Source organism: Homo sapiens, chromosome 7 (genome assembly GCF_000001405.40).
Source record: "Homo sapiens chromosome 7, GRCh38.p14 Primary Assembly".
NCBI classification, from domain to species: domain Eukaryota; kingdom Metazoa; phylum Chordata; class Mammalia; order Primates; family Hominidae; genus Homo; species Homo sapiens.
In genome coordinates, this window is record NC_000007.14 from 138,938,790 (window position 1) to 138,962,675 (window position 23,886).

The window sequence follows — 23,886 nt, forward strand, 5'->3', positions numbered from 1 at the left end:
ATAATCCCAGCACTTTGGGAGGCTGAGGCGGGTGCATTACCTGAGGACAAGAGTACAAGACCAGTCTAGCCAATACGGCGAAACCCTGTGTCTACTAAAAACACAAAAATTAGCCAGGCGTGGTGGCACATGCCTGTAATCCCAGCTACTTGGGAGGCTGAGGCAGGAGAATAGCTTAAACCTGGGAGGCGGAGGTTGCAGTGAGCCGAGTGAGACTCTGTCTCAAAAAAAAATTAATTAATTAAACTTTTTATTATAAAATTTTCAGACATACACAAAAGTTGAAAGACTGGAACCCATTACTCAGCTTCAATCCCATAAACTTTTTTTTAAAACACAAATAGAGCAAATCCCAGACATCATTAATTTCTGTAAATACTTCAGCATCTCTGATAAGGACTTTAAAAAATTATAACCACAATATAATTATCACACCCAACAAAATTAAAAATAATTCCTAATATCATCTAATTATGCATTTCAAACTTGGTTTTCCTTGGTGGCCTCAAAATATTTTTGTATAACAGTACAGTTGCTTTTTTCACACCAGGATCCAAACAAGGTACATACAATGCTTTTGGTTCATGTGTCTCTTAGGTCTCTTTTACTTTATAACAGTTTTCTCCTCTTTTTTTCCCCCTTTTTAAATCTCTCCCTATTTACTTGTTAAAGAAAGGTCATTTGTCCCTGTAGACAGTCCACATTCTATATTTGGCTGACTATATTCTCATGGTGTCATTTAACGTGTTCTTCCCCCAAATTTCTTATAAACTGGTAGTTAGATCAAGAGGCTTCATTAGATTCAGAATCAATGTTTTTGGCAAGAATACTCCCTAGGTGGTCCTCTGTATTTCCACTGTATCACGGCAGGAAGCGCCTGGTTTCTGGCTGTTCTATTCTGAGTGATACTAAAATTTATCAAGGGCTTAAGAGGTGACAGCCCTTTTCATCCATTACAAGGCTCCTCATCAACTCTTCACATAATGACTAGGCAGTCACTGATGATCACTGCCTCCATCCATTATTTCACTAAGGAGGTTGGGTTTTTTAAGCCTGCATTAATTAAAGATATTCCAGCCGGGCGTGGTGGCTCACGCCTATAATCTCATCACTCTGGCAGGCCCAAGCAGGAGGACTGCTTGAAGCCTGTGGTTTGAGACCAGCCTGGGCAACATAGCAAGACCCCATTTCTACAAAAAAAATTTTTTTTTTAATTTTAATTTAAAAATAATTTTTTTATTATACTTTAAGTTTTAGGGTACATGTGCACAACGTGCAGGTTTGTTACATATGTATACATGTGCCAGGTTCATGTGCTGCACCCATTAACTCGTCATTTATATTAGGTATATCTCCCAATGCTATCCCTCCCCGCTCCCCCCACCCCACAACAGGCCCCGGTGTGTGATGTTCCCCTTCCTGTGTCCATGTGTTCTCATTGTTCAATTCCCACCTATGAGTGAGAACATGTGGTGTTTGGTTTTTTGTCCTTGTGATAGTTTGCTGAGAATGATGGTTTCCAGCTTCATCCATGTCCCTACAAAGGACATGAACTCATCATTTTTTATGGCTGCATAGTATTCCATGGTGTATATGTGCCACATTTTCTTAATCCAGTCTATCGTTGTTGGACATTTGGGTTGGTTCCAAGTCTTTGCTATTGTGAACAGTGCCGCAATAAACATACGTGTGCATGTGTCTTTATAGTAGCATGATTTATAATCCTTTGGGTATATACCCAGTAATGGGATGGCTGGGTCAAATGGTATTTCTAGTTCTAGATCCCTGAGGAATCGCTACAGTGACTTCCACAATGGTTGAACTAGTTTACAGTCACAACAACAGTGTAAAAGTGTTCCTATTTCTCCACATCCTCTCCAGCACCTGTTGTGTCCTGACTTTTTAATGATTGCCATTCTAACTGGTGTGAGATGGTATCTCATTGTGGTTTTGATTTGCATTTCTCTGATGGCCAGTGATGATGAGCATTTTTTCATGTGTCTTTTGGCTGCATAAGTGTCTTCTTTTGAGAAGTGTCTGTTCATATCTTTCACCCACTTGTTGATGGGGTTGTTTGTTTTTTTCTTGTAAATTTGTTTGAGTTCTTTGTAGATTCTGGATATTAGCCCTTTGTCAGATGAGTAGACTGCAAAAATTTTCTCCCATTCTGTAGGTTGCCTGTTCACTCTGACGGTAGTTTCTTTTGCTGTGCAGAAGCTCTTTAGTTTAATTAGATCCCATTTGTCAATTTTGGCTTTTGTTGCCATTGCTTTTAAAAAATTTTATTAAAAAAAATTAAAAAATAATTTAAAAAGATGTTCCAACACTCAAATTATAGAAATAATAATAATTTGGGGTCTGGAACAATAATGTTATTTGTGTTTTGTAAGAACATTTAATAAGTCACCTGATTAGGAGTTCAATACAAAGATGCTGATTTCTGTACCATTCTTTAAAAAGATTACACACAAATCATTGACCCTGTGAATATATTAAAGTCCCCCTCCCCTGCCAAAGTTCACCGTTCCATAAAGATAGTAAAGAATAAGGCAGATCTTGGAAATTATGACACTTAAGAAGGAGGGAAGGAGGAAATAGAAACGTCAGAATATCTCAAAGCAGTGCATTTATTACAGCACCTTTCCAAAGAACAGATTAAGAAGTACTAAAATAACCTTAAGACACGATGGTTAAACAGTTTCAAATTCCTCTTCTTCCTGTACTAGAGTTTCTACAAAACAGCAAAAAATAATCTGAATCCTTTTCTCCCTATCCCTTACTCAGAGAAGTGTTAATAAACAGTAAAATACCTGTGCGACAGAAGAATCCTCCTCCCTTCAAAAACACAGGCTAGTTAATGCCTTCCGCATAATCACTTACTGACCCTGAGAAACCCTCTATTAATAGCCAAGCCTCACAGGTACCTACACTTCCCCCTGGGTTAGAGCACTTCCACTCAGGAGAGCAATTAGCGCTCTGCTGAACTGAACTGCCCAGTCTGCTGCAAGAAGGTAGGGAAGGGAAGCAGGAGACATCAGGGATAACCTTCAGGGACCAGTAAGATGAGGGAGCCTAAACTCTTCCAAAGAGGAAATAAGGAAATCTTAAAAAACGTTGCAATGAATGCCACTGAATTGTATGCTTAAAAGTGACTCAAATGTTAAATTTTATGTTATGTATATTTTACCACATTACAAGTCACAATGCTCAATTTTTATAAGCTCATGTGGCCAATAGCCACCCTCTCCCAGGTGCTATGATCCATTATCCTTCTCACGTCATTGGTGAAAAACCCGAGGCTCCAAAAGATTAAGTAACTTGTTCAAGTCCCACAACTAGCAGGTGGTGGACCCAGTATTTGAACCCGGATCTATCCGCTGCCAAAACCCCTTGCTCTGGGCACAGCACCACACTGTCTCTCTGAAAGAAATTTCCAGATTATCATTCTTGAGCAGCTCTGTACAAAAATTTTCATAATTGAAGGCAAACGAGAATTCTAAGTATTAAAAACCACTTCCCAATTTGAAAACTCTGCTCACTGCATTTCAACACAGGCCTATCAACTTCAGGAGGTTTAAACAACATGTAAAAGAGCAATACGGTGAAAATAATATCTCGGATGCTGAAGCCAGAGAGGCATGAGGCTAGCTCCTGCAATCAGCTCTGCACCATGACCGCATGGGGATGCTGCCACAGAAAGACCTGGATCCGGTGGCTGAGGCCCACAGGGAGACCCAAAGAGGAGAGGTAACAGAAGTTGGGAACTGTCCCAGGCACCAGCCTTCTCAAGCACTGCACTGGTGATACATGCGCTCCCTTACCCGCAAAAGTAAGTTGGAGGCTGGGCACGGTGACTCACGCCTGTAATCCCAGCACTTTGGGAGGCTGAGGCAGGCGGATCACAAGGTCAGGAGATCGAGACCATCCTGGCTAACATGGTGAAACCCCATCTCTACTGAAAATATAAAAAATTAGCCAGGCATGGTGGCGGGCACCTGCAGTCCCAGCTACTCGGGAGGCTGAGGCAGGAGAATCGCTTGAACCCAGGAGGTGGAGGTTGCAGTGAGCCGAGATCGTGCCACTGCACTCCAGCCTGGCGACAGAGCAAGACTCCGTCTCAAAAAAAAAAAAAAGTAAGCTGGAGGTTGGACCAGAAGCAAGAAAATTCAAGCAACAAACACAAAGGACCAAAGACCTCTCTGCTGTCTCCAGCAACCTACTAAGGGCTGCCTGGGCCTCAAACAACCGATGAGCAACCAATGTGTGCCCCTGCAGACAGTCTGCCCTCCACCGCGAGGAAGCTAAGGCAGCCTGCTAGACCCACATGAGAGAAGGAGGGAAATAATCACAGATCTTCTTGTTTGTGACAACAGTGGCAACAATGACTCCAGAGTGTTTGCTTTGTGCCCAGATGCGTCACGAGTCCCCCTCGAGTCCCACAAAGGCCGATGGTGAAGGCGCCGTTCTCATCTCCATTTTACAGCAGGGCAGGCAGCACAGAGAGGTCTGGTTTGCCCAAATCCCTGCCAGAGAATCTGGACTAGAGCCCTGGGCTGTCTGCCCCCAGCGCCGGCAGTCTCAGTCACAGCACACGAAACTCATGCCTGTGGAAGAAAACACCACCCAAATGAATAACTTTTCACAAATTATTTATTTCCCTTATTCTTTTTATAATTGACAAAATAAGCTGTATATGTTTATTGTGTACAACATAATGTTTTGAAATATATATACATTGTGGCATGGCTAAATCAAGCTAATTAACAAATGCATTACCTCGCCAGGCGCAGTGGCTCACGCCTGTAATCCCAGCACTTTGGGAGGCCAAGGCGGGTGGATCACAAGGTCAGGAGATCGAGACCATCCTGGCTAACATGGTGAAACCCCGTCTCTACTAAAAATACAAAAATTTAGCCGGGTGTAGTGGCGGGCACCTGTAGTCCCAGCTACTCGGGAGGCTGAGGCAGGCGAATGGCGTGAACCCGGAAGGCAGAGCTTGCAGTGAGCTGAGATCGCACCACTGCACTCCAGCCTGGGCGACAGAGTGAGACTCCATCTCAGAAAAAAACAAAACAAAAAAAAAATGCATTACCTCACATAGCTTAGTTTTTGTGGTAAGCACACTTAAATCTACTCTCTTAGCATTTTTTTTTTTTTAATAGAGACAGGGTCTCGTTATGTTGCCCAGGGTGGCCTTGAACTCCTGGGCTCAAGTGGTCCTCCCACCTCGCCCTCCCAAAGTGCTGGGATTACAAGCTGGGATTACACTGAGCGGGCCTCTCTTAGCATTTTTTTTTTTGTCTATGGCCCCATTTTTTAAGATTACCATATACTGTTATTAACTGGTAACTATCATCACTACATTGTACAATGGATCTCTTGAACTTACTGCTCCTAAGTGAAATTTTACATCCTTTGACCAACATCTCTCCAGCCACCCCAGCCCCCACACTACCCCAGCATCTGAATAACTTTTCACTCAAAAGCCACATAATTGCCAAGAAGTACATCGAAGGATGCTTAATATCATTTGTCATCAAGGAAATGCAAATCAAAAGCACAATAAAATACCAATTCATACCCATAGGATGGCTATATTTTTTAAAGTGAAAAATTAGTGTTGGTGAAAATATAGAGAAATTGGAACCCTTATACACAGCTGGTGCTTCCACTGTGGAAAAGAGTTTGGCGGGGATCTGGTCTCTCAACAAGTTAAACATAGAATTATCACACAACCCACTAATTCCACTCCTAGCTATGTCCCCAGAAAAACACTGGAAGCAGGCGTTCAAACCAAAACTTCTGCTTGAACGCAGCATTATTCACAAAAGCCAACAGATGATATCAACCCAAATGTCCACCAACTAATGAATGGAAAAAAAAAAAGGTGATATATCCATAAAATGCAATACTATTCAACCACAGAAAGGAATGGAAGACCACTGCATAGTTCAACACAGATGAACCTTGAAAACATTATGCTAACTGAAAGCAGCCAGACACACAAACACATACTGTATGACTCCATTTACATGAAATATCCAGAAAAGGCAAACCCACAGAGGCAGAATGCAGTTAGTGGCTGCCAGGGGCGAGGAGGGTGCAATGGACCCCTGTCCACTGCCCACTGTCCAGCCAGTCCTGTGGCTGCACACTACTGTGGATGTACTTACTGTCACTGAATTGAACACTTTGAAAGGGCTAAAATTGTAAATTTTATGTTATGCATGTTTTACCAAAAAATAACTTAAGGGGTCAAATACAAAAACCTCCTAGGTCCAGTTAAATACCCTTATCCCAGTTTAACTGGGGAAGCTGTTATTTTTCTAAAGTTCACTTATTTTCTACCAGTATAGTGTCTCTCACAGAGGAGTCCTGCTCTCAGAATCACCCAGGGATCTTTTTAAAAAATGGATCTCCAGGCCTTTCCCTAGACTCTCTGAGGGGGTGAGGCCCAGGAACGCATATTGTAACACTCACCCCAGGTGCCTTAGCGCCAGCCACTGTCTAAGACATCTCATCCCGTCCTTCCAGGCAGTTCTCAGAGCTTCTTGAAAGGAGGGTGTTAATCACCTCCTTATTGATGCTCCAATCCAGGCATGCTGACAGCTGTTGTCTAAGTACTACCTCTGGGTTGTTAGCATCTGCTGTGTTCAGCTCTCAGCTGCACTTTGCAAACCAAGCCCCTCACCTGGCAGAAGGTGACCTTGACCCCACTAAGTACTTTGCAGCTCTATACCACTTCTGGTCCACACAGGTGATTATTCGCTTTTGAGTTGAGACTTTTTGGCTCTCTGCACTCATATTTCATCTATCAATTTTATGTATTTAAAGCATGAAGTTACTTGTGCCATCCTGCCCAAGACTGTGACTTCTGACCACCTGTACTTTAAAACCAGAACGCTAACACTTTTTTTATAGGCATATTAAAATCATCCTTTAACACAGACCACTTTAAAAGTAGATTATAAAAGATTGGTTTCTTTTCACGGCTCGGCATAGTGGCTCACGCCTGTAATCCTAGTAGTTTGGAGGCTGAGACAGGAGGATGGCTTGAGCCCAGGAGTTCAAGGCTGCAATGTGCCATGATTGTGCCACTGCACTCCAGCCTGAGTAACAGGATGAGAACCCCTATCAACAAAATAGAATGTCCACAATTGAGGCCAACAGGAAGCTTGAAAAGCAGTATGTTCAAGAGGGTTCTCTCAACTAAGCTTACAAGTTCCCCTTCCCCTTCTCTCCTCCCCTCCCTCTTTCCCCACCCCTAAGCTCTCTCCACCCTTTGCCTGCCTCTCCCCAGTCCCACGTTCTTACTGCCTCTCATCTGCTCCCTTTTCTCCTTAACTGGTTTAACATATCATAATAATATGAAGTCGCATAATATATTATGTTCGTTGTTACATTTACTGAGTGAGGCTTGTTATTCTCTGCTTTTAAACACTGGTTATAGTTTTCTCTTTAAAACATTGTTTTCTGCTTGTATGTAAGCCTTAGTTGATTTCTGCAGAGGAACCAGTGGCCTTTAAGAGAAAAAGACTCTTGATTACTGACCCTATTTAGATAAGAAACACAGGGCATCTTCAGTGAAAATTTAAACCACTCTACTGTCGTGGTACAATTACTCTTTCTTTCGCTTGGCTATGGGGAGAGGAGGAAAAGTCTCACAAACTAAAGATATTCTAAAACAGAATTTTTTTTTAAAAGGCCTGGCCGGGCACGGTGGCTCACGCCTGTAATCCCAGCACTTTGGGAGGCTGAGGCGGGCAGATCACTTGAGCCCAGGAGTTCAAGACCAGCCTGAGCAACATGAAGAACCCCGTCTCTACCAAAAATACAAAAATTAGCCTGGTGAGGTGGTGTGCGCCTGTAGTCTCAGCTACTCAGGAAGCTGAGGTGGGAGGATCACTTGAACTCTGGAGGCAGAAGTTGCAGTGAGCCGAGATCACGCCACTGGACTCCAGCCTGAGCAATGGAGGCATCTAGAGACCCCCAGTTTTTTGGAATCCCTGACTCCACCCCGTCTGTAATGCCTTTCCCCAAACTATGATGACAACAACAAATGCTCGCAGGCATTGCCCAGCGCCTCTGCAGGTGAGACTGCCCAACTGAGAACCCTCTGAGACTCACTGCAGCTTTACTGCATGGCCCAGGGAGAGAGGCTGATGGGAGCAGGTAAACAACCCCTGGTCTCCCAGCAGCCCCCACTGCCAACGGGTGCAGAAAAACCACAGTAGAGCATTCACTGGGATTTTATCTACTTCCACGTTCTCACCAAGCAGGATAATAAGTAAAATCTAGCTCCCTTCCATTTTAAGTCCATTAGTATAGAACCACTGTTCATCCAGTTGAGCAGCTGAGTTTCTTGGGTAATCTGCAGTCCCATGTTGACCAGCTGACCCAAGATGAAACGTTAATAAAATAAAATATGATGGAAAACAAGTTAACTTACTAGCATCCATGATGGCTTCTACGTACTGAATGCCTACTATATGCCAAATTCTGGGAGAAGCACCTTCCGTCAGTACATCACTTAATTTCCCCAACCACCCCTTTACAAATGAGGAAACTGAAGCTACAGAGGCTGAAAAACCCGAAAACGCTGAATGTTAGTAACATGTGGAGCTGGGGTTTGTATGCACCTGACCTCACCAAGCAGCCAGCCCAGGGGGTAGTCTCACACTGCCTGGGTCCACACTCCATTAATAAAAAAATTCCCAAGCACACCTCCACTATATACTTTGTTTTGAAATTATACACACAGACTCCTGTTTTGATATGAAGAATCTTACAAAACATATACAATACCAAGTTTTAAAAGAATGAAGAAAACGTGCAATAACTAACCTCATAATTACACTTGCTAACATCTGAAGGCAAAACCAAACTTTTCTGAGATTCCTTGATAATAACTGCAGATGTAAACTACACTTTCAGTCATTTTGATGCAACTGAATCTCAATATTCAGGGGCCAACTTTTTTTTTTTATTTTTAAGACAGGGTCTCACTCTGTTGCCCAGGCTGCAGTACAGTGGCACCATCTCGGCTCACTGCAAACTCTGCCTCCTGGGCTCAAGCAATCCTCCCACCTCAGCCTCCCAGGTAGCTGGGACTATAGGCATGCACCACGAAGCCAAGCTAATTTTCATATTTTTTGTAGAGACAGGGTTTCGCCACGTTGCCCAGGCTGGTCTCAAACTCCTGGACTCAAGCAATCCACCTGCCTCGGCCTCCCAAAGTACTGGGATTACAGGTGTGAGCCACTGCACCCGGCCTCAGGGACCAGCTTCTTATCACATCTGATTAATCTCATGGGAGGAACTGTGTACCCCAAAAAAGATATTTTGAAGTCCTAACCCCCACTATCTCAGAATGTGACCTTACTTGGAAATAGGGCCTTACTAGGGGCAATCAAGGTAAAGTGAGGTCACTGTGGTGGGCCATAATCCAACATGGCCAGTGTCCTCACGAAAATGGGGGAATTCGGACACAGAGACAGACACACATGGAGGGAAGATGGTGTGAACACACAGGACGAAGACAGCCATGTGGCTGGGGTGAAGCGGCTACAGGCCAAGGAGTGCCCAGGCCTGCCAGCAAATGCCCAGGCTAGCCAGACAAACACAAGAGGCAGGAAAGAATCCTTCCTGGAGCCATCAGAGGTAGCATGGCCCCGCCAACACCTTGATTTTGGACTTCTGGGCTCCAAAACCGTGAGAGTAAACTTCTGTCATTTAAGCCACCCAGTCTGTGGTATCTTGTTACGTGGCCCTTGCAAACCAATAGATACTGTCACTGTTTTTATGGGGTAATGAGGTTGACCTCTCCCTACAGCCAAGCAAAAGAGTCATTGTTCCATGACAGTGCAGTGGTTTATGGGGTTTATACTGTTTTTTTGTTTTGTGGCTTTTTTTTTTTTTTTGAGATAGAGTTTCGCTCTCATTGCCCAGGCTGGAGTGCAATGGCGTGATCTCGGCTCACTGCAATCTCTGCCTCCTGGGTTCAAGTGATTCTCCCACCTCAGCCTCCCGAGTAGCTGGGATTACAGGCATGTGCCACCATGTGCCACCATGCCTGGCTAATTTTTTGTATTTTTAGTAGAGACAGAGTTTCTCCATGTTGGTCAGGGCTGGTCTCAAACTCGCAACCTCAGGTGATCCACCCACCTCAGCCTCCCAAAGTGCTGGGATTACAGGTGTGAGCCACCGCGCCCGGCCAGGGTTTATACCGTTTTTACGGGGTCATGAGGTTGACAAGGAGCTCATACTAGGAGTAACAGCTCTGTCATTTCTTACCTGCTTGTGTTTGCACTGTTAAAACTATCTCTAATCTACAAGTCTCCACACTCTCGAAAAAATCGTTTTGAGACATCTGTCTACCAAGGGAAAATTTGTTTATATAAAACCTGGAATTATTTCTGTAATTTGAAAATTCACTTAACAAAGCAGTCATTACCCTCATCTACCCCAAGTCGCTGAAAGATAAAAAAGTGACAAACTCACCATCAACCCCTCCATGTCATGGGATTTGTCTGTCCTCAGGACACTTTACTCTTCATATGTGACACAAAATGTTCTGTCATATAGACGAAGTGATAATGTCAGGATAGACCCGCATATTAGGTATCAGTAAAATTTAATTTTTATTTTTAAATAAAAAATCAGTATTTTTTTAAAGTAAATGGAAGTTCTGATGTTTTCTTCCCATGCCCAACTGTGGAGACCGAAAGCCTATTCTGCTGTCTCTCGGCATACAGCTAATGAAGAGATGGGGTTCCAATGCCAGCCTGTAGGACTCCACAAACACCTAAACCAGTATTCAAGCGCCAACCACCTGAGTGAACAAAGGTCCAATCTGGCTCAAGCTTAACAGGAGAGTACCAGGAAATGTTTGCCTCAAGGTTAAAAAATTCCTAAAGTCACCAAACAGTAGTGTGGCTTCACATGACTGCAGACCCCAGGAGTGCTGAGGACCTATGACAGAACCCAGGACTGGCTATGACACGCCAGACTCTCAGAGACCCACAGGTGGGTCACACATTCTAATACATCTGAGCCAACCCCAGCAGGGGCCGGGGCAATTCACGCAATATCACGAGAGCAGCGAGTACACCTGACTTCAAGTCGGTGCCAAGCCCCACAATCTTCCTAGTCGGTGCCAAATTTTCAAGAAGATGGCTGAGGCCACCTTATTTCAGATCTGCACAGGAACAAGTTATCCCAGCACCATGAGCTAACACTTCGTGGTCTCCATTGTGTTAAAACGTGTGTATGGCAGGATTGCCATGTGCTGACTTAATATTTCAGCTGGGGATGGTAGTAACTGGAAGGGGACATGAGAGTTTCTGAAGGGCAGGTCATGTTCTGTTTCTTGATATTGGTGTTGTTATACAGCCATTCAGTTTGTGAAAATTCATTGTATACTTACAAATACTCATATATTAATACATTAGATCTTTTATTATAATCGTAAAAAATTTCAGAATATATATAAAATTTCAAAAACTAAATATCTATCAAACTTGCAAACACACAACTAACAGATCGCCCTAACAAAGTTTGAAAGCCACTCAACTAAGCTGGTCAGAAAAGGAAAGCCTGCCTCTAATTTCCCTTCCAGCCTTCCTTGTCTTTCAAGAAAGGAGAAGGAGTTGAGAGCCTTCACTTAAGCGTGCAGGGAGATGAATTCCTGAAGAGCTGTGTGAAAACCCACCTCTGGAATACAAATTCATTCTATTAAGGTGGCTTAGGGGACTCTTGTCATTTAAAGACTATTTGGTACAAGAATAATCACTTCAGATTTATCTTCCATGCTCAGGGCAACCCTCACATAAGTTCGGTTTGCTGCAAAAGGGACGCATCTTCCATGCTGCTTCCAGGCACTGTTCCCAGGCACCACTGACAGCAAAGGTGGCCGAGGCCCGCCAGCTCTGGCCCAATCCTGCATGTATGTCTTGGTATGGGGGTTCCCACCTCATTGTGGCTCCAGGACTCTGGATCTCCCCGGGGGCTGAAACCTTTCATCAGATGCTCTCTCTACCCTGCTGAGGTTATCAGCATCATGTCACGAGGTCCCCGACCACCTCGCCACACTTTCATCAGACGCTCTCTCTACCCTGCTGAGGTTATCAGCATCATGTCACATGAGGTCCCCGACCACCTCGCCCTCACCTCGGCCCAGCTGTCACCAGTTACCTCCCTACCTACTCCTTCATCCCCAAGGTCAGGCCCGCCCTAACCCTCCCCATCCTTTGCACCCTCTCTTCTGGTTTTTTTGTTTTGTTTTGTTTTGTTTTGAGATAAGAGTCTTACTCCCTTGCACAGGCTGGAATGCAGTGGTGCAATCTCGGCTCACTGCAACCTCCGCCTCTCCAGGTCAAGCGATTCTCCTGCCTCAGCCTCCCAAAGTGCTGGGATTACAGGCATGAGCCACCATGCCCAGCCGCATCCTCCCTCTGGAGGAACCTGAATCCCGGACAGGGCATCACAGGATTCAGGGTTCACGGACACTTCCCTCCACCCGTGTCTTCGCCTCTCCCACTTCTTTAGATCTCTCTCACCTTCAAACATCAGTGGTCCTCTCTCCCTAGCACAGTTTCTCCTTGACTCTGCTGCCACCCTGCCACTATTTCTTTTCCCTTCCCTTCCCTGGGTGTTTCCTTGAGTGCACAGTTGCCATCCTCTCCCCGCACGTTCTCTCTGAATGGTCTGCTTACACAGGCTGGCCCTGGCACTGCCTATGTCTGTCTCTGCAGTTCAGTGAGCTGCTCCCCAATCGTGCTGGCTTAAGCTATAAACCCACTTGTCAGATGACGACACCTGCTTTCCCCATAAAACTAGTGATTTAAAATGAGCACAGATTTTTATAAAGTACCCAAAACTTAACCAGTCACTCCTCTAAGATCACTCAGGGACAATCTGAGTTCATAAAAATGCTAATGGGGCAAATACTCTTGAACCAACAGAAATTCTATACATCATGATGAGAAAACTATACAAGAAAAGAACATAATACATATGTCTAAGCAACATCCAGGAATTTAAAAGCACTTCATAAATGACCATTAAAAAGTTACCTTTATAAAAACTACGGAAAGCAACTGCTTGGTTTTAACAAATAGTCTGGCTCCAGTGCGTTAACTAAAGAAATACTAAAAGAATCGCCTCTGGAATCGAACAATCTGGACTGGAATCTCCATGAATGCTGGGTTAACCAATCCTGCCCTCAGTGATTCCATCTATAAAATGAGGAAAAGAACACACAGGGTGGTTACGTGGACTGCACGGGTGAACGCACGGAAGGCACTAACTCTAGCTGCAGGTCAGAGCCCCCGGCACTTTACCCGTGCCTGGATCCACCCACAGAGGTTCTGACTCAATGTGGCTGAGGATGGTCTGGGATTTCAAAACTTCCCAGGTGATTATAATCTGCACAAGGTCAAGAGCCACTGGACTGACATGTGGCAAAGCTTTCAAAAACAATGCCAGTTGTTCGTGTAATTATTAATAACATGGCCTAGAAAAATAAGAATCCGGGATTCTGGATCTAAACAAGATGAGGCACATCAAAGAAATCAGGCTAAGGCAAGAGAGCAGTATTCTAACAATCAGGAACCCTAAGGGGAAATGAGTTTGAGAGCACAGACAAACAAACATGTTTTCTTGTTCCTGTTCTTCTCAGCCAGTAAAAATCAGGAAAAATGTAGTTCCCAGGAATAAAGTGAGGACTCTGCATATCAAATGGTGTTCATAAAGGTCACTCATCTCTACACAGTAGGAGCTGTGAAGGGCTGACGTGAATTCCCAGGGCACGAAGTTCTAACCAGCTGCTAATACAATAACCGCCTAATGAGGAATCTTTAACAAAAGTTGCATACTCAAGTCTAAAAATGTATTTTTCATGCAACTTGGCATTGGAGACACTAGCTCTGGCTCTGATTACTTGTTACTTTGTGATATCTTGAGATTTTCAGATCCTGAGGAGGTGTTCTATCTAGAAGGTTCTAGAAGACCTTTAAAACAAGCATCACCACCCCTAATGAGTGGAAACCCTTGGTAAATAACATCCAGTAAGGAGAAAGCCTGGCAAGGAGAGGCCTGGAGGCAAATAAGGAGCAAGTGAGTCTAGACTGAATATTCAGAATATTCTCCTATCACCATTCTCCTATCACCAAGTGATGGATTTACCCGTAAGGACAAATGAGTCAGCTCTCTTTTAAGATGAGAAGTGATCAAATTTTGTTGCTTCAAAAGTCTGTTCTGAATCACTCGTCTTAAAAGCAGCTGTAGCTGGGCACGGTGGCTCATGCCTGTAATCCCAGCACTTTCGGAGGCCGAGGCAGGTGGATCACCTGAGGCCAGAAGTTCGAGACCAGCCTGGCCAACATGGTAAAACCTCATCTCTACTAAAAATACAAAAATTAGCCAGGCATGGTGGTGCACACCTGTAGTCCAAGCTACTCAGGAGGCTGAGGCACAAGAATCACTTAAACCCGGGAGGTGGAGGCTGCAGTGAACTGAAATCAGGCCACTGCATTTCGGCCTAGACAACAGAGCAAGATTCTGTCTCAAAAACAAAAACAAAAAAATGTAAATAATAAATAAGTGCAGCTTCATCTCTACTTTTTAAGCACAATAATAATAGGAAAAAGGAATGATAAAAATAAGCAATTATAAAAAGATACATTTTTAAGAAGGGTCATCCCTCCTATATAAAACACTGCCAGAAAAATAGTACACAAAAAAGCGTAAATCTACAGTGAAAAAACAAAATATGAAAGAAAACAGGTGAAATAAAACAAGGGAAGCTTCCTAAAGAAAGAATACATACTACAAGTAAATATGCTGAATTCAAAAGGGAAAGCTATGTGATCCATATTCCCAAGCAGAGACTCGACAAGAATTTAATTGGAAATGTTTAAGTAATAAAATGTTAAGGCCTTTTCTTGCCATGTTTATAAATTTTCTCATCTATCTTCCATACAATACAAATACATACACAATAAAATAAACTAAACAAGCACTTATTTCATATCTACTGTGATTCATCCATTCTAAGACCTGTTCTTTCACATTTTAAGATATCTGAAATCGGGGTGAATCTAGTTATTGGTACGTACGGTTTAAATGGCAGTATTTTTTCTTCATGATCTTTCTCAGAGGTACAGAAAATAAATGGTGCATCACACTGTTGATGGTATCTTAGTTTCAATGAAATATTATGTTTAGTAATCAACAGTCATATTTCTATGTGCAAAATGCTAGCAAGGCGCTAGGCTAGTAAGCTATTTAAGGAGAAAGGATATACGCACAAGAAGTTAGATTAGTAATAAAAATTGGCTTCTAACAACAGCAAATAAATATACGATGGTAGACAGAAATTGCTAGAAGAATATGAAGCAGAGCGCATTCGTGCAATTTAATTCTATTGGTAAAAATAAGAGCTAAACTTTGCTCTGGACATGGCCAGAATTTAGAAAATTGGGGAACCTGGGCAGGCACTCCCTTTGGGGAAAAGAGCATGAGTAAGATACTAAAGAAAGAACAGAAGGCCTCACGGGGCATGGCTAAGTCGTACTGTGGGCCATTCCTGCAGGGACAGGATGGAGATTGGGTGGGTACTGGGGTTAGACTACAGAAGACCTGAACTGCCAAACTAAGCAGTGTGGATTTTATCTAACAAGCTGGCATCCTTAACAGCCACCCCCTGCCAAAGCGCAGGCTCTCTACGATAGCCTGGGAGAACTCCTCAGGCTCCTGTTCTCTGGCCAAAAATGGTCTGGTTCCTCCTCGTCTGTCAGGTAATTCCTCTGCCTCCGTGGCACCCCCCTCCCCCCACAACAATGCCATAAGCAGTTTTCCACTTGGATCACCCCTCCGGATGTTGTCTCAGACCACCCTCCAGGCTCACGGAAGCCTCTGCCGCTCGTGGAGAGGTACCTGGCCCGTGCAGAGTGACTGAAGCTTCCAGAGAAGGGTGCTTGTGCAGGAACTGCAGGAAGATTCCCGTCCTGCAGAAGAAACTGAATGATCTCAGATCAGGTGGGGAGGACCAAAGAGAAGGCAGGGAAAGAAAAGCAGCAGATGTGAGGGGCATCTGGAAGGGGGACCCAGGGGCTGAGGATAAGGGGGACAGGGAGACAGTAACATCCTGGGGCAAGCAAGCCACACCGCCCAAGAGGCTGCTGGCACCACAGACAGCAGCAGGCCTCGGATTAAGTCCCCGCACACACAGCCCTCCTCTGAAGCACCCTCTACTGGCTCTGCCATGTCTTCATTCAAACACCGATCAGTGTCCTACTATGTGCCAGAGACACCACTAGATTTCGAGGAAACTGAGGTGAGTCAAACACTGTCCCTGACCCCCACTGTCCACAGTCTGGTATTAAAAACAGAAGTGAAAAATAAATCACTGTAATTCACAATAGCCAAAAGGCAGAAGCAACTCACCAACTGTCCACTGGCTGATGAATGAATAAACAAACGGTGGCACATACACACAATGGAATATCACTCAGCCTCAAAAAGGAAGGAAATTCTGACACACACTACAACACAGGTGAAGCTTGAGGTCATTATGCAAAGGCACAAAAAGAAATACTAGATGATTCCATTTACAGGAGGTACATAGAGGAGTCAAATTCATAGAGACAGAAAGTAGAAGGGTGGATGCCAGGGGATAGGGGAGAGGGGAAATGAGGAGTTGCTTGATGGGTACAGAGGTTCTATTTTGCAGGATGAAAAGTGTCGTGGAGATGGATGGTGGTGACGATGGCACAGCAGGGTGAAAGTATATCATGGCATGAAAATGTTTACAATATAATGAAAACTGCAAGATGCAAATTGTATACATAGCATGATCCCATTTTATGAAAAAAGTAAAGTCTCATATACATATTTTGAAACACTAGGAAGATGCATATCAAACTGTTTATATAATAGTTATTGTTAGGTGGCAGAAATAAAGATGATTATTTTCTACTAAATATACTTCTGTACTTTCCAAAGTACCTACAAATGAGGACCATTTATAATCAGAGACAAACTTTTTTTATCCCAACAGAGAGGGAATCAACATGCAGGGAACTGAGGCACTGACGGTTGTTTTTTGGGGGGTGGGGTTTTGAGACGGAGTCTTGCTTCTGTCACCCAGGCTGGAGTGCAGTGGTGCGATCTTGGCTCACTGCAACCTCCACCTCCTGAGTTGAGGCAACTCTCCTGCCTCAGCTTCCCAAGTAGGTGGGACTACAGGTGTGCACCACCAAGCTCAGCTAATTTTTGTATTTTTAGTAGAGACGGGTTTTCACTATGTTGGCCAGGCTGGTCTTGAACTCCCGACCTCAAGCGACACGCCCACCTCAGCCTCCCAAAGTCAGCACTGGGTTTAAAATGACAGCTAATCACCCACAGGGATTTAGTTCATGGAACAGGTCTGGAATGAAGATGTAGTTCCAGGTGATCTTCAAGAAAGGAGAGAAGGTGTGAAAAGGCATTCTGAGTTAGGATTCAGGAGGAGAAAGCAGCTAAGGGGAAGAGAAAGATAAAAAGAAGCCCAGCTTTATGAAGCAGCTTACAAATCCAGGGAGAAGCCACGGTACTGAATTCACCAAGTGATATGGTTCGGCTGTGTCCCACCCAAATCTCATCTTGAATTGTAGCTCCCATAATTCCCATGTGTTGTGGGAGGGATCTGGTGGAAGATAATTGAATCGTGGGGGTGGTTTCCTCCATACTATTCTGGTGGTAGTGAATAAGTCTCACGAGATCTGATGGTTTTATAAGGGGAAACCCCTTTCGCTTGGCTCTCATTCTCTCTTGTCTGCCACCATGTAAGACGTGCCTCTCACCTTCTGCCATGATTGTGATGCCTCCTCAGCCACATGGAACTGTGAGTCCATTAAACCTCTTTTTCTTTATAAATTACCCAATCTCAGGTATGTCTTTATCAGCACTGTGAAAACGGACTAATACACCAAGTTGCTATTAATTCTGATCTATTCAATCATTCATATGATCATTTACCTATTTAATTGTTAACTCATAGAAGCATTCCTTCCTACACACCCACCCACTTAGTGATTTAACAAATATTTATTGAGGGCCTACTCTCTGCCAGGCCCAGTGCCAGGTGGAGGGGCTAAGGCACAATCTCTGTCCTCAAAAAACTAGTTAGGAACAATCATAACACAGTGGTCAGAGTTATAATAGGGACGCACAGGGGCAATGAGCATCCAAATCATTCTGGGATTTCTGGAAGTCTTCCTGAGGGAAGTACAGAATCAAGCAAATGAGGAAGAGAAGTGCATTCCACGCAGAAAGAACAGCATGTGCAAAGGCACAGGGGCATAAAACAGTTCAACGCAGTTCCCCATATGGGGAATGACCATACTGCCAGAGCAATACGGTTAACAGGAGAGGCAGGCAATGAGGTAGGAGAGGGGAGAGGAGGAGGCTGTTGCAAATCAAGAAAAACAAGGATTGAACAAACCAGAGACACTGCCATGTGAGGCACCACATGGTCCTAATCAAGTGAATGTAGTGAACACACTGGCAAGGAACTGAGCCGAGGGCCCAGCAATAAGGGAACAAACAGAAACCCAAAGTCAAATCCTAAATCTTGGCCCACTATCTTCTTATTCTTCTTCCCCTCCCCCTCCCCCTCCCCCTCCTTCTCCTTCTTCTTCTTCTTCTTCTTCCTCTTCTTCTTTTTGAGATGAAGTCTCGCTGTTTGGCCCAGGCTGGAGCACAGCGGCATGGTCTCAGCTCACTGCAACCTCTGCCTCCCAGGTTCAAGCAATTCTCTTGCCTCAGCCTCCAGAGTAGATGGGACTACAGGTTCGCATCATGACACCCAGCTAATTCTTGTATTTTTAGTAGAGACAGGGTTTCACCATGTTAGCAAGGCTTGTCTCAAACTCCTGACCGCAGCTGATCCGCCCACCTCAGCCTCCCAAAGTGCTGAGATTACAGACATGAGACACTGCACCCAGTCAACTTTCCTAAAAACATGTACCTATGGACCCAACTGGTATCCCAGGGTCACTTGCTGCCACCTCATCTCTACTGTCCCTTATTCTCTCTTTGTCCACTTCTTCTACTCAGCCTTCCTTCCTCTCCAAGCAACCGTGCATTTCGCTATGGGTGCATACTCATGAGTCAGTGTGTCTGTATTCATGCATGCATTTCCTTGTATGTGCATCTCTGCATATATTGCTATTAATCTATATGCTTGTACTCATGCATCTACGTTTTGAATTTTCCTTTGACAACGTCTGTGAATACATATTTGTCTTTCCTCGTCTTTGCACGACTGTTATCCTCTGGATACATGCACGTTAATGATTATGCGTGTGCCTGTGTGTGTATGCTGAGCATAAGTGGGCATGTGACCCACATGCGCGGGCCACAAGAGGGGCCATCTGCGGGTTCAGCCTGCCTGGCGCCCACGCCCACCCCAGTCTTGCCTTGGGGAACACTCCTTCCACCATGGCACCGGATCTAGGTGCCACCATCACCCACGATGCTCATTCTCTCCTGACCAAGGGACGGGCAACTATCCCAAGCCCCAGGCTCTCTCCCCAAAATCTGAATCTCAAACAGAATGATTAAAAGGCTGAAATTCATCCTGTTGGCTATGCCCTAAAGGAACAGTCTTCAACTCCTACAGCCTGGATCCCCAAGCTGCAGGCCCTGAGGCATCTTGTCAGGGCCACAGAAGTGGAAACTGACATATATATGAATATTTATATAACTTCCCAGCTGTAAAGTTCTATGACTCAGGAGCTTAACAGTCTCACTTACATCCCATGATGACAGCCTTGCCTGGGACTGTCATTTAAATCTCTTTCTCTCCCCCTCGTTTAGCTTATTACTATCCCACTGTCTCACATCAGCTACTCTTCTTCCCTGGTATAGAGAGGACTGGTTTCTTCCTAGCAACCCCGAACAGTAGACGGCAATACTTCCTCAGGGTCACTCAGCAACAATCCAAGATGATCCAAACAAACCAGTATGATTCAGAAGTTGTTCCTGTCCAGGTACGTACCAGTTACACAATTCGAGATATACAGATTTGTTTTTGCACTATAGCCCAAAGGTTTTTTTTTTGTTTTGTTTAGTTTGTTTCGTTTTTGAGATAGAGTGTTGCTCTGTCACCCAGGCTGGAGTGCAGTGGCACAATCTCGGCTCACTGCAACATCCGCCTCCCAGATTCAAGTGATTCTCCTGCCTCAGCCCCCCGAGTAGCTGGGATTGCAGGCGCCCACCACCACACCTGGTTGATTTTTATATTTTTAATAGAGACGGGGTTTCACCATGTTGGCCAAGCTGGTCTCCAACTCCTGACTTCAAGTAATCCACCTGCCTCGGCCTCCCAAAGTGCTGAGACAAAAGTTCTCATACATCCTTTTTTAAACAAATGACCTTAATATAACTCCAAAAATCTGCTATACATTAATTCATTCCCTCTTGGCAATCAACTAAACATCAAGACTTAAATAGCACCACAAATCACGACCATACACAACTAGGGAAAGTCCCATTTATCTACATATTCATGCATCCATCTCTCACGCAGTACATTGTGCTGGACATTGTGGAATAAAAAGATGACGCTAACGGGGCTCCCATCATTAGGAAAAGGGAGTGGGGGCTTATGGCAGAGAGGCCCAACCTGCATAGGACAAAGGGTCTTTATGTTTATTTCCCATAAAAAGCCTGCAATTAACCTAACGCGCATTTTACGAATGGAGAAAAATGTCATCTTTGTTATGATCATTTTTAACCCTGACTGTTGGTTATCAATTATTTCAGCATGAAATATGTCAGCGAAGTTTGGTCATAATTAAAATTTATTTAAATTTACATTAAGTTAGAAGCATTACTTTTTCTGGATTAGAAGATCCATTCATAAATCCCTTTATAAATTTATGTAGATTTAACTGTCAAAGAGGTGTAACTTGATACATTCCTAAGAGCTGAACTACTGGGCCAAAAGGTGTAAACCTAACTTCATTTGTGAGGATCAGAGAGCAACTGTGCCTCTTAATCAGACCCGACCCCTCTTTAAACAGTGCTCTCAAGGACTAACAATTTTCAATTCCAAATGTCACACCCATGTGGGATCAGGTCAGTTCCCAGGACTGGAGAGCAAAAGAGAGACTACTGGTCCCTTAACACAAACAAGCTCTGAAATGTGTCGAAAAATTACTCCAAGATAGGGTGAATCAAACAGGAATTAGAGTGACAGCCCAACTCCAATTGGTCAAAGGCTGACCGGGCCACTGAGGTCCAGGAGAAACAGAATTTGTGCCCTGGAGCTCTGTGGCAGAGGAGATAGTGTAAATACTGTGTCAAAAAATATACATGAGGCTGGGCATGGTGGCTTACACCTGTCATCCCAGCACTTTGGGAGGCTGAGGCAGGAGGATCACTTGAGGCCAGGAGTTCGAGACCAGCCTGGGCAACATAGTGAGACCTCATCTCTACAAAAATAAATTTTATTTTATTGATTTATTGATTTATTTATTTATTTATTTATTTTGAGATGGTGTCTCACTCTATCATCCTGGCTGGAGTGCAGTGGCACTATCTCGGCTCACTGCAACCTCTGCCCCCCGGTTCAAGCGATTCTCCTGCCTCAGCCTCCCAAGTAGCTGGGATTACAGGCACCCGCCACTATGCCTGGCTAATTTTTTGTACTTTTAGTAGAGACAGGGTTTCACCATGTTGGCCAGGCTGGTCTCGAACTCCTAACCTCAGGTGATCCACCTGCCTCGGCCTCCAAAAATGCTGGGATTACAGGCATGAGCCACTGTGACCAGCCACAAAAATAAAAAAATTTTAAATACATGCTACAGTGTTTCCAACACCAGCAAAGGGCTGAACCTCCCAGACACCCCAGGCTGGAGCCCAGGCTGCCACGGCAGGCACCTCACAGAAGCGTATCTGCGGCCAGAGAGTAAAACTGCTCTCTCCATATTGCACGTGCTTTTCTCAAGAAACGCTTTCTAATGCCCTGTAGGACTAGAAACACAAGCGGTGGTGTCTTCCGGATTTTCCAAAGAGATCAAACTATTATGAAGCAAAGTCTCCAGGAACATAAATGATAAGAATGCTGGGAAATTCTAAAAGCACTGCAAACTCCACACAATAAGGGACATGAAAAGAGATGAATGGGACACTAAATGTGTCTTTCCCCCATGCCCTCATAACCTCTCCCTGTGCAGTTCTGACAGAAGGGCCCCTTGCAGGCCATCGGACAGCACAGCCAAGGAGCAGGAGCCATCTGTCCTGCACTTGGATCCGGGTGACGGCCAATGCCCACAACCTCTTGCCCACCAAAGAGTGGGGTCTCCTCTAGGCACACACTGGGAGGTTAAAACCCCATTCTAAGTTGCTCCTGTTGTCCTCGGAGCAGTCTCAAGACTTGAAGTTTGGCACTTGGAAGGCACCCAATTAAAGGTCAAAGTACATAGGAGGGCTCCATGCCAGGAGATCTTGGCGTTCTTCTTTTGAAGTCTATGACGGAAATGCTGCATTTTGAAAGCTACTGGGGGAAGCATTGTGAGACTGAGGCAAACACAGCAGCTGGGCAGAAAATAGATCTATTAGGCTCCTACCGTGGGCTGAGAGAGCTGCTTTGGGATCGGCCCCATGATGCGCTTTCCCTACCCTGCCACGAGGCTATCACCCCCCACAGGGACCACGGGAGGCTGCTGCTGTACACAAAAGGTCCTCACCTCCTCCAGGCCTGGCCCACTCAACAATCCTTTCACAGCTTCCTGCTCTATTCCTTCTTCTGTGATCCACAGATACTATAATTATAAACTACTTTTTTCATGGAACCTGACCTGCTCCTGCCCCATCTCACTTAAGTGATGATGATGCCACTATCAAAAAGAAAAATGCGACCAGGCACAGTGGCTCATGCCTGTAGTCCCAGCACTTTGGGAGGCTGAGGCAGGAGAACTGCTTGATCTCAGGGGTTCAAGGCTGCTGTGAGAGATGATCATGCCATTGCACTCCAGCCTAGGTGACAGATAGAGGCTCTGTCTCTTAAGAAAAAAAAAAAAAAAGAAAGAAAAGGAAAAAGAAAAGAAAGGAAGAAATAAAAAAAGAAAAAAGCTATCAGACATCAACTTCCTCAATAGCATCATCCTCCCGCCCCTTTACCTGCATGCACCTAAACCTGTAGCCATCACTCCCCCTTCCCACCTGTCTCAGTGGAAGAGGCGCCATTCTCCCTGTGCAAGGATGCACTGGAGTGTGAATCTCTCCTCTCTCAGTTATCAGTTATGTGACCTGAGGTGAGTTACTTCATCTCCTTATAATTGTACTGGATAGGGTTATCAGGATTACATGGCTTAATACAATTAATACATATCAACTTCCTAGAAGAATGCCTGACATAAGTGCACATTCGATTTTAGTTACCTATTATTATGTCTACTATCATCATCATTTATCCTAGTCTTCTCTGAGAGCTTTCTCAAGTAATTGTATCTTTTCTCTCCATTACCTTCAACCATTTTGTGCTTATGGTAGCTGCTAATCTCCAAAGACGACCACCATCAATGTCAATGTCTAGGCTATTTCACCACCCATCAGTGGGTAGCCCTATTTCCTCCTGCCCCTTGTGGACTAGTCTTGTGATTTTCTCTGACCAGCAGAATGCATCAGAGACAACTTTTGAGCTCCAGATCTTAAGAGGGCCGCTAGCTCCTGCTTCATTCCCCTTAGAAGCCAGCGGCCCCATATGAAGTCCTACTATAAGAAGTCCAAGCTGGTCACCTGGGAAGAGAGAGGGAGGGAATGTGGTGGGACATGAAGGTAGGAGGGGGTGAAACAGCCTCAGCCTTCCAGCCCAGCCCTGGAGCCAACCGAACACAG

General features: G+C 44.5%; 1 protein-coding gene across 2 annotated transcripts in view, besides 2 other annotated features; it reads right to left on the reverse strand.

The window, feature by feature from the left end:
* The window catches only part of KIAA1549, a 150,009-nt gene that overhangs the window by 107,409 nt on the left and 18,714 nt on the right, over nucleotides 1–23,886 (reverse strand). The window lies entirely within an intron of this gene.
* Nucleotides 4,149–4,929: an enhancer, noted in NCBI's record as "H3K4me1 hESC enhancer chr7:138627684-138628464 (GRCh37/hg19 assembly coordinates)". NCBI's record gives its function as "activates a minimal SCP1, AML or CMV promoter by ChIP-STARR-seq in naive H9 embryonic stem cells {active_cell/tissue: H9 hESC(naive)}" and the evidence as "EXISTENCE:reporter gene assay evidence [ECO:0000049][PMID:30033119]".
* Nucleotides 6,285–6,826: an enhancer, noted in NCBI's record as "NANOG hESC enhancer chr7:138629820-138630361 (GRCh37/hg19 assembly coordinates)". NCBI's record gives its function as "activates a minimal SCP1, AML or CMV promoter by ChIP-STARR-seq in primed H9 embryonic stem cells {active_cell/tissue: H9 hESC(primed)}" and the evidence as "EXISTENCE:reporter gene assay evidence [ECO:0000049][PMID:30033119]".